The 12,228-nt window shown below is 38.4% G+C and overlaps 1 annotated feature.

Moving 5' to 3' along the window:
- Nucleotides 6,511-7,011: an enhancer, noted in NCBI's record as "H3K4me1 hESC enhancer chr9:111494497-111494997 (GRCh37/hg19 assembly coordinates)". NCBI's record gives its function as "activates a minimal SCP1, AML or CMV promoter by ChIP-STARR-seq in primed H9 embryonic stem cells {active_cell/tissue: H9 hESC(primed)}" and the evidence as "EXISTENCE:reporter gene assay evidence [ECO:0000049][PMID:30033119]".

Below are 12,228 nucleotides of genomic sequence, written 5' to 3' on the forward strand. Positions count from 1 at the left end.
TGATAAAAGTACAAAGATTGAAAAGGGGAAGATTGCATTATATTGTTGTCAAGTTCCTATGTTGTTTATGAAGAGGTATAATATTATTTGAAGGTGGTTTGCTATAAAGTAAAAGTGAATACTGTAATCTTCAAAGGAGTAGTTCTCAATCAGGGGCACTTTTGCCCTCCAGGGGACATTTGGCAATGTCTGGATATTTTTGCTTGTTACAACTGGGGAGAGGAGGTGCTACTGTCATCTAGTGAGGAGAGACCAGGGATGAAGCTAAATATTGTACCATGCACATCACCGCACCCCATGGCAAAGAATTACATAGCAATAGTGCCAAGATTGAAAAATTCTTCTCTAGAGAAACCACTAAAAAAACACAAGGACATATAGGGCAAAAGATGATAGAGGCAATAAAATGGAACGCTTAAAAATACTCAGTTCACCCAGAAGAAAGCAGGAAAGAAAAAACAAAGGGACAAATAAAAAATAACTGCCAAGATTGTGGATTTCAACTAACCATATCAATGATTGCATTAAATGTACATAGATGAAACCCACCAATTAAAACGCAAAGATAATCAGACTAGATTTAAAAAGCCCAATTATATGCTGTTTTTGAGAAATATGCTTTTAAATATACTAACACAGACAGGTTGAAAGTAAAGTTGAAAAAAAGACAAACTTTGCAAACATTACACATAGGAAAGCTGGTGTGACCATATCAATCACAAAAACATAAACATGAAAAATACTATCAAAACTACCAGGTCCAATGTTCACTATTTGGTACACTAGTGAACATTAGAAGCCCAATCCCCACCAGCATGCAATATAAACATGTAACAAACATGCACATGAACCCCTTGAATCTAAAATAAAATAAATTTTTAAAAAATAAGTACTATCAAATACTAAAAGAACATTTCATGACCATCAGAGTTAATTCATCAAGGATACACAATTCCAAATATGCATGTACCTAGGTGCACAACTTAAATTACATAAATGAAAAATTTACAGAACTAAAGGGGGAAATAGACAAATCCACAATCACAGCTGGAAATTTTAACATTCTTCTCTCCATAAGTCATGTAAGCTGTAGATAAAAATTAATAAAGACATAGAAGATTTGAGCAACACTACCAAACAAATACTTACAGAACACTGTATGTCACGTTGCCGAATATACCTTGTTTTTAAGTGCATATGGACCACTCACCAGACTTGACCATGTGCTGGGCCATGAAATAAGCCTCAATGAATTGCAAAGAATTGAAATCATACAGAGGATGTTCTCTGGCCACAGTGGAATTAACTAAAAAATCAGTAACAACAAGCTATCTAGAAAATTCCCCCAAAATATTTGGAAACTAAGCAATACATTCTAAATCTCTCTTAAGTTTAAAAAGGAGTCATACAAAATATTTTAAACTAAATGATAATGAAAACATGACATAAATGTGTGGGATGCAGCATATAATATTTTTTCTAATACTATTCTTATATTAGAAAAAAAGATAAAGTGAAAATCAGTAATCTACTCTTGCATATTAAGAAGCTAGAGCCCCTCAGTCAGGTCTCGTCCTGGATGCTGGGTCTGATTGGAGCTCACTGAGAAAGGTTATGGGGACCCAGCCATGGAATATGAAGAGCAGTAAGCCGGAGGCAGGCAGGGCATTTGTGAGCACATCCAAGAGGAAAAGCTATAAAGACGTATACTTGGGGTGGAGGAGGCAGAGCAAGATGGCCAAATAGAAGCCTTCACCAATCATCCTCCCCACAGGAACACCAAGCCAAACAATTATCCACACAAAAACAAGTTCCTAAGAACCAAAAGTCAAGTGAGTGGTCACAGTACCCGGTTTTAACTTCATATCACTGAAAAAGGAACTGATGAGGGCCTTGAATTGCCAACATCACCCCTCCTCCATCCCCCATCAGGGGCCATGTGTTGCAGAGACAGAATCTTTGCACTTGTGGGAGGGAAAGCACAGTGATTGCTGGACTTTGCATTGGAACTTAGTGCTGTCCTGTCACAGAAAGCAACACCAGGCAGAACTCAGCTGGCGCCCAAAGAGGAAGCATTTAGACCAGCCCTAGCAAGAGGGGAACTGCCCATCATAGCAGTCAGAACCTGAGTTCCAACAGGGAACTCAGTGGGCTAAAGTGCCCTGGCATCCTAAATAAACTTGAAAGGCACTCTAGACCACAAGGACTGCAATTCTTGGACAAATCATGGTGCTGTGCTGGGCTCAGAGCCAGTGGACTTGGAGGGCACACAGCCTAGTGAGACAGCAGCTGGGGCAGCCAAGGGAGTGCTTGTGCTACCCTTCCCCCAACCCAGATAGTGTACCTCACAGCTCCGAGACAGATTTCTTCTTTCCACTTGAGGGGAGAGAGGGAAGAGGAAACAGGACTTTGTCTTGCCACTTGGAAACCAGCTCAGTCACAATAAAACAGGGTACCAGGCAGAGTCCTGAGGCCCCCACTTCAGGCCCTAGCTCCCAGATGTCATTTCTAGATAAACCCTGGGCCACAAAGGAACCTGCCCTCTTGAATGGAAGGACCTAGTCCTGGCAGGATGTATCACCTGCTGCCTAAAAGGCCCTTGCACCTTGAATAATCAGCAGTGATACCCAGGCAGCAATCACCATGAACCTTGGGTGAGAATCTGAGACATGCTGGTTTAGATGTAACCCAGCCCATTATCAGCTATAGCAACTACAAGAAGAGACTCCTTCTGCTTCAGAAAAGCAAACAGAAAAGTAAAGGGAACTTTGTCTTGCAGCTTAGGTACCAGCTCTGCCTCAGTGGGGTGGAGAACTAAGTGGATTCTTAGGGTCCCCAATTCTAGGCCTTGACTCTTAGACAGTATTTCTGGACCTGTCCTGGGCCAGAGGGGATCCTACTGCCCTGAAAGGAGAGTCAGGAGAGTCACAGGTGTGGCAGCATTCACCAGAGCTGACTGAAGAGTTTTGGGCCTTGAGTGAACATCAGTGGTAGCCAGGGAGTACTCCCCACAGGCCTGGGGCAGTGGTGGCCATGGAGAGAGATTCCTATGTTTATCGAAAGGGGAGAGAAGAATGGGGAGGACTTGGTCTTGAGACGTGAGTGCCAGCTCAGCCACAGTAGAATAAAGCACCAGATAGATTCCTAAGGTTTCCAACTCCAGGCCCTGGCTCCTGGACGGCATCTCTGGACCTGCCCAGGGCCAGGGGAAACTGGCCACCCTGAAAGAAAGGATACAAGCCTGGCTGGCTTGGCCACCTGCTCAGTGCAGAGCTCTAGGGCCTTGAGTGAACATAGGCAGTAGCTAGGCAGTGATTACCATGACCCTTGGGTGAGGCTTAATACTGGCAGGGTAGAAACAAGCCCAGAATGCAAAAACTACAGTGAATACCTAACTTTTCAATGCCCCAGACACTGACAAACATCCACAAGCATCAGGATCATTTCGGAAAACATAAGCTCACCAAACAAACTAAATAAGGCACCAGGGATAAATCCTGGGAGACAGAGATATGTGACCTTTCAGACAGAGAATTCAAAATAGCTGTTGTGAGGAAACTTAACAAAATTCAATGTAACACAGAAAAGGAATTCAGAATCTTATCAGATAAAATTTTTGAAGAGATTGAAATAATTAACAGTTAATCAAGCAGAAATTATGGAATTGAAAAAATGCAATTGAAGGCTGAGGCAGGAGGTTCACTTGAGCCCAGGAGTTTAAAACCAGCCTTGGCAATATAGGGAAACCTAGTCACTACAAAAAAAGTTTTTAAATTATCCAGGCATTGTGGCATATGCCTATAGTCCCAGCTACTCAGGAGGCTGAGGTGGGAGAATCTCTTGAGCAGGGGAGATTGAGGCTTCAGTGAGCCATGAATGTACCACTGCACTCCAGCCTAGACAACAGAGCAAGACCCTGTCTCAAAACAAAAGAAAAAGAAAAATGTTATTGACATACCAAAGAATACATCAGAGTGTCTTACCAGCAGAACTGATCAAACAGAAGAAATAATTTGTGAGCTCAAAGATAGGCTATTTGAAAATACACAGTTAGCTGGGCGTGGTGGCTCACGCCTGTAATCCCATCACTTTGGGAAGCTGAGGCAGGTGGATCACTTGAGATCAAGAGTTCAAGCCTGGCCAACGTGGTGAAACCCTGTCTCTACTAAAAACACAAAAATTAGCCATGCATGGTGGCACATGCTTGTAGTCCCAGCTACTCGGGAGGCCGAGACAGGAAGATCGCTTGAATCTGGGAGGCAGAGGTTGCAGTGAACTGAGATGGTGCCACTACACTACAGCCTGGGTAACAGAGTGAGACTCAGTCTCAAAAAAAAAAAAAAAAAAAAGAAAGAAAGAAAGAAGAAAATACACAGTCAGAGGAGACAAAAGAAAAATAAAAAAGAAGAAAGCATACTTACAGGATCTAGAAAATAGCTCTAAAAAGGCAAGTCTAAGAGTTACTGCCCTTTAAAAGGAGGTAGAGGGTGCAGCATGGTAGCTCACACCTGTACTCCCAGCACTTTGGGAGACCAAGGTGGGCAGTTCATCTGAGGTCAGGAGTTCGGGATCAGCCTGGCCAACATGGCAAAACCCCATCTCTACTAAAAAATATAAAAATTAGCCAGGCATGAGGCACGCATCTGTAGTTCCAGCTAATTGGGAGGTTGAGGTGGTAGAATCACTTGAACCTGAGAGGTGGAGGTTGCAGTGAGCCAAGATCGTACCACTGCTGTCCAGCCTGGGTGACACAGCAAGACTCCAAAAAAAATTTTTTTTAATGGAGGTAGAAAGTTTATTCAAAGAAATAAAAACAGAGAATTTCCCAAACCTAAAGAAAGATATCAATATTCAAGCACAAGAACATTATAGAACATCAGGCACATTTAACCCAAATAAGACTACCTCAAGATAGTTAAAACTCCCAGAGGACAATGATAAAGAAAGGATTTTAAAACTACAAGAGAAAGAAACAAATAGCATACAATGAAGCTCCAATACATCTGGCAGCAGAGTTCTCAGTGGAAACCTTATAGGCCAGAAGAGAGTGGCATGACGTATTTAAAGTGCTAAAGGCAAAACAAACAAAAACAAACCTTATATCCTAGAATATTATATCCAGTGAAAATATCCTTCAGAAAGAGTTTTCCAGACAAACAGAAGCTGAGGGATTTTATCAGTACCAGAACATTTCTACAAGAAATGCTAAAGAGAGTTCTTCAACCTGAAAGAAAAGGATATCAATGAGAAATATCATCCAAAGGTGCAAAACTTAGTGGTAATTATGGGGTTGAGTAGAAATCTTGATGTCTATCTTGAGTAGAAAGATTAAAAGATGAACTAATCAAAAATAATAACTACAACAACTTTTCAAGACATAGCTAGTATAATAAGATATAAATAAAAACAACAAAAAGTTTAAAAGTTGGGGGATGAAGTTAAATGTAAAGTTTTTATTAGTTTTCTCTTTGCTTGTTGGTTTATTTAATCAGTGTTAAGTTGTCATCAGCTTACAATAATGAGTTATAAGATATTATTTGCAAGCCTCATGGTAACCTCAAATCAAAAAACATACAACAGATACACACAAAACAAAAAGCAAAAAATTAAAACATATCACCAGAGAAAATCACCTTCACTAAAAGGAAGACAGGAAGGAAAGAAAGAAGGAAGAGACGACCACAAAGCAATCAGAAAACAAATAACAAAATGGCAGAATAAGTTCTTACATATCAATAATAACATTGAATATAAATGGACTAAACTCTTCAATCAAAAGACAGTGGCTGAATGAATAAAAAAGCAAGACCCAATAATCTGTTGCCTACAAGAACCACACTTCACCTATATATACACACACACAGACTGAAAATAAAGAGATGGAAAAAGATATTCCATGCAAATGGAACCCAAAAAACAGGAGTAGCTATACTTATATCAGACAAAATATATTTCAAGATTAAAAACTCTAAAAAGAGACATAGTCATTGTATAATGATAAAGGGGTCAATTCAGCAAGAAGATATAACAATTGTAAATATATATACATGCACTACTGGAACACCAAGATATATAAAGAAAATATTATTAGAGTTAACAAGAGATAGAACCCAGTACAATAATAGCTGGAAACTTCAGCACCCCACTTTCAGCATTGGACAGATCATCCAGACAGATAATCAACAAAGAAACATCAGACTTAATCTGCATTACAGACCAAATGGACCTAATATTTACAGACCATTTGATCCCAGCCACAGAATACACATTCTTCTCCTCAGCACATAGATTATTCTCAAGAATAGAACATAAGTTAGGCCACAAAATAAGTCTTAAAACATTCAGAATAATTGAAATCATATAAAGTATCTGCTGTGATCACAATGGAATATAATGAGAAATCAAAAATAAGGAATTTGGGAAACTATAGAAACACTTAGAAATTAGGGCCGGGCGCGGTGGCTCACGCCTGTAATCCCAGCACTTTGGGAGGCCGAGGCGGGCGGATCACGAAGTCAGGAGATCGAGACCATCCCGGCTAAAACGGTGAAACCCCGTCTCTACTAAAAATACAAAAAATTAGCCGGGCGTAGTGGCGGGCGCCTGTAGTCCCAGCTACTTGGGAGGCTGAGGCAGGAGAATGGCGTGAACCCGGGAGGCGGAGCTTGCAGTGAGCCGAGATCCCGCCACTGCACTCCAGCCTGGGCGACAGAGCGAGACTCCGTCTCAAAAAAAAAAAAAAAAAAAAAAAAAAAAGAAATTAAAGTATATGCTTGTTTTTCTGAGGTTTGTCAAAGATCAGATAGTTGTAGATATGCGGCGTTATTTCTGAGGGTTCTGTTCTGTTCCATTGATCTATATCTCTGTTTTGGTACCAGTACCATGCTGTTTTGGTTGCTGTAGCCTTGTAGTATAGTTTGAAGTCAAGTAGCGTGATGCCTCCAGCTTTGTTCTTTTTGCTTAGGATTGACTTGGCGATGCGGGCTCTTTTTTGGTTCCATGTGAACTTTAAAGTAGTTTTTTCCAATTCAGTGAAGAAAGTCATTGGTAGCTTGATGGGGATGGCATTAAATCTATAAATTACCTTGGGCAGTATGGCCATTTTCACGATATTGATTCTTCCTACCCATGAGCATGGAATGGTCTTCCATTTGTTTGTATCCTCTTTTATTTCCTTGAGCAGTGGTTTGTAGTTCTCCTTGAAGAGGTCCTTCACATCCCTTGTAAGTTGGATTCCTAGGTATTTTATTCTGTTTGAAGCAATTGTGAATGGGAGTTCACTCATGATTTGGCTCTCTGTTTGTCTGTTATTGGTGTATAAGAATGCTTCTGATTTTTGTACATTGATTTTGTATCCTGAGACTTTGCTGAAGTTGCTTATCAGCTTAAGGAGATTTTGGGCTGAGACAATGGGGTTTTCCAGATATACAATCATGTCATCTGCAAACAGGGACAATTTGACTTCCTCTTTTCCTAACTGAATACCCTTTATTTCCTTCTCCTGCCTAATTGCCCTGGCCAGAACTTCCAATACTATGTTGAATAGGAGTGGTGAGAGAGGGCATCCCTGTCTTGTGCCAGTTTTCAAAGGGAATGCTTCCAGTTTTTGCCCATTCAGTATGATATTGGCTGTGGGTTTGTCATAGATAGCTCTTATAGAGACACGTCCCATCAATACCTAATTTATTGAGAGTTTTTAGCATGAAGGGTTGTTGAATTTTGTCAAAGGCCTTTTCTGCATCTATTGAGATAATCATGTGGTTTTTGTCTTTGGTTCTGTTTATATGCTGGATTACATTTATTGATTTGCATATATTGAACCAGCCTTGCATCCCAGGGATGAAGCCCACTTCAGCCTTGCATCCCAGGGATGAAGCCCACAAGCAATGGGGAAACGATTCCCTATTTAATAAATGGTGCTGGGAAAACTAGCTAGCCATATATAGAAAGCTGAAACTGGATCCCTTCCTTACACCTTACACAAAAATTAATTCGAGATGGATTAAAGACTTAAACATTAGACCTAAAACCATAAAAACCCTAGAAGAAAACCTAGGCATTACCATTCAGGACATAGGCATGGGCAAGGACTTCATGTCTAAAACACCAAAAGCAATGGCAACAAAAGCCAAAATTGACAAATGGGATCTCATTAAACTGAAGAGCTTCTGCACAGCAAAAGAAACTACCATCAGAGTGAACAGGCAACCTACAAAATGGGAGAAAATTTTCGCAACCTACTCATCTGACAAAGGGCTAATATCCAGAATCTACAATGAACTCAAACAAATTTACAAGAAAAAAACAAACAGCCCCATCAAAAAGTGGGCGAAGGATATGAACAGACACTTCTCAAAAGAAGACATTTATGTAGCCAAAAGACACGTGAAAAAATGCTCATCATCACTGGCCATCAGAGAAATGCAAATCAAAACCACAATGACATACCATCTCACACCAGTTAGAATGGCAATCATTAAAAAGTCAGGAAACAACAGGTGCTGGAGAGGATGTGGAGAAATAGGAACACTTTTACACTGTTGGTGGGACTGTAAACTAGTTCAACCATTGTGGAAGTCAGTGTGGCGATTCCTCAGGTATCTAGAACTAGAAATACCATTTGACCCAGCCATCCCATTACTGGGTATATACCCAAAGGATTATAAATCATGCTGCTATAAAGACACATGCACACGTATGTTTATTGTGGCACTATTCATAATAGCAAAGACTTGGAACCAACCCAGATGTCCAACAATGATAGACTGGATTAAGAAAATGTGGCACATATACACCATGAAATACTATGCAGCCATAAAAAATGATGAGTTCATGTCCTTTGTAGGGACATGGATGAAATTGGAAATCATCATTCTCAGTAAACTATCGCAAGGACAAAAAACCAAACACCGCACACTGTCACTCATAGATGGGAATTGAACAATGAGAACACATGGACACAGGAAGGGGAACATCACACTCTGGGGACTGTTGTGTGGTGGGGGGAGGGGGGAGGGATAGCATTAGGAGATATACCTAATGCTAAAGGACGAGTTAATGGGTGCAGCACACCAGCATGGCACATGTATACATATGTAACTAACATGCACATTGTGCACATGTACCTTAAAACTTAAAGTATAATAATAATAATAATAAAAAGAAATTAAACTATATGCTCCTGCATGACCAGTGAGTCAATGTAGAAATTAAAGAAGGAAATTCAAAATTTTTCTTGAAACAAATAATGGAAACACACATACCAAAACCTACTGGATACAGCAAAAGCAGTAGTAAGAAGTTTATAGCTATAAGCACCTACATCAAAAAAGAAAACTCAAACAACCTAATGATGCATCTTAACAAACTAGAAAAGCAAAAGCAAAACAAACCCCAAATTACAAGAAATAATAAATATCAACAGAATTAAATGAAATAAATGAAGAAAACCATAGAAAATATGAAAGAAACAAAAACTTGGCTTTTGGAAAAATAAATAAAATTGACAAACCTTTAACCAGACTAGGAAAGAAAGAGAAAAGACACAAATAAAATCAGAGATGAAAAAGGAGATATTACAACTATGATACTGCAGAAATTCAAAGGATCATTAGAGGGTATTATCAGCAACTATATCCCAGTAAATTGGAAAACCTAGAAGAAGTAGATAAGCTCCTAGACACATGCAACCTACCAAGATTGAATCATGAAGAAATTAAAAACCTGGACAGACCAATAAGAGGGTATTGAAGCCATAATAAAAAATATCCCAGTCAAGAAAGCCTGGAACTTGATGGCTTCACTGATGAATTTTATCAAACATTTAAAGAAGAACTAATACCAATCCTACCCAAAATATTCCAAAAAACAGAGTAGAGAATACTTTCAAACTCATTCTATAAGGCCAGTATGAGCCTGATACCAAAACCAAACAAAAACACATGAAAAAGAGAAAACTACAGTCTAATATCCCTAATGAAAACTGTTGCAAGAAATCCTCAACAAAATATTAGCAAACCAAATTCAGCAACACGTTAAAGACGATCACTCATTATGACCAAATAGGATTTATCCCAGAGATGCAAAGCTGATTCAACATACACAAATCAATCAATGTGATACATCGTATCATCAGAATGAGGGACAAAAACTATACGATCATGTCAATTGATGCTGAAAAAGCATTTGATACAATTCAACATCACTTCATGATTAAAAAAAAACTGGGCATAGAAGGAACACACCTCAACACAACAAAAGCCATATATGACAGACCCACAGCTAGTATCATATTGAATGAGAAAAACTGAAAGCCTTTCCTCTAAGATCTAGAACATGACAAGGATGCTAATTTTCACTACTGTTATTCATCATATTACTACAAGTCCCAGCTAGAGCAATCACACAAGAGAAAGAAAAGCCATCCAAGTTAGAAAGGAATAAGTCAAATTATCTTTGCTTGCAGATGATATGATCTTATACTTGAAAAAAATCTAGACTTCACAAAAAAACTATTAGAACTGATAAATTTAGTAAAGTTGCCGGATACAAAATCAACACACAAAAATCAGTAGCAGTTCTACATGCCAACAGCAATCAATCTGAAAAAGAAGTCAAGAAAGTTATCCTATTTAAGAAATGAAAGAGCTCTACAATGAAAACTATAAAACATTGATAAAAGAAATTGAAGAGGACACAAAAAAATGGAAAGATATTCCATGTTCATGGATTGACAAAATCAATATTGTTAAAATGTCCATACTACCTAAAGCAATCTACAGATTCAAAGCAATCTCTATCAAAATACCAATGACATTATCCACAGAAAAAGAAAAAAAAAATCATAAAATGTATGTGGATCCACAAAAGACCCAGAATAACCAAAGCTATCCTTAGCAAAAAGAACAAAACTGGAGGAATCACATTACCTGACTTCAAATTATACTACAGAGCTATGGTAACCAAAACAGCATGGTACTAGCATAAAAACAGACACATAGACCAACAGAACAGAATTTAAAAACCCAAAAACAAATTGATATACCTACAGTAAACTCCTTTTCAACAAGGTTGCCAAGAACATACACTGGACAAAGAACAATCACCTCAATAAATGGTGCTGGGAAAACTGGATATCCATATGCAGAAGAATAAAAATAGACACCTATGTCTTACCATATATAAAAATCAAATCAAAATGGATTAAAGACTTAAATCTAAGACCTCAAACCATGAAACTACAAAAATACAACATTAGAAACATTAGGGAAACTCTCCATGACTTTGAACTATGGAAAGATTATTTGAGTAATATCCCACAAGCATAGGCAAGCAAAGCAAAAATGAACAAATGGGATCATATCAAGTTAAAAAGCTTCTGCACACCAAAGGAAACAATCAGCAAAGTGAACACACAACCAACAGAATGGGAGAAAATATTTGCAAACTATCCATCTAACAAGGGATTAATAACCAGAATATATAAGGAGCTCAAATAACCATACGGGGAAAAAAATCTAATACTCCGATTTAAAAAGGGCAAAAGATCCGAATAGAAATTTCTCAAAAGACGACATACAAATGGCAAACAATTATATGAAAAGACATAAAAATGGCAAACAATCATATGAAAAGGTCTCAGCATTATTGATCATCAGAGAAATGCAAGTCAAAACTATAATGAGATATCATCTCACCCCAGTTAAAGTCCTTCTATCCAAAAGACAGGCAATAACAAATGCTGGTGAGTATGTGGAGAAGAAAGAACCCTCGTACACTGGCACCATGTAAGACGTGCCTTTGATCCTCCTTTGCCTTCTGTCATGATTGTTAGGCCTCACCAGCCTCCCCTGGTAGTATGTGGAACTGTGAATCCATTAAACCTCTTTTTCTTTATAAATTATGCAGTCACAGGTATGTCTTTATTAGTAGCATAAGAACAGAGTATTACAATTTAAAAATAACTAAAAGAGTTAATTAGATTGTTTGTAACAGAAAGGTTAAATGCTTGAGGTGATGGATGCCCCATTTACCCTGATGTGATTATTACACATTTTATGCCTATATCAAAATATCTCATGTACCCCATAAATATATACACCTACTATGTATGCACAAACATTAAAATTTAAAAAGAAACTAGAAAAAAATCAAAGTACTACGTAGAAGAAAGGAAATGAAAATAAGAGCAGAATTAATCAAATAGAAAGTGGACAAAGAGAAAATTTA

The sequence above is a fragment of the Homo sapiens genome, chromosome 9, assembly GCF_000001405.40.
Source record: "Homo sapiens chromosome 9, GRCh38.p14 Primary Assembly".
NCBI lineage: Eukaryota > Metazoa > Chordata > Mammalia > Primates > Hominidae > Homo > Homo sapiens.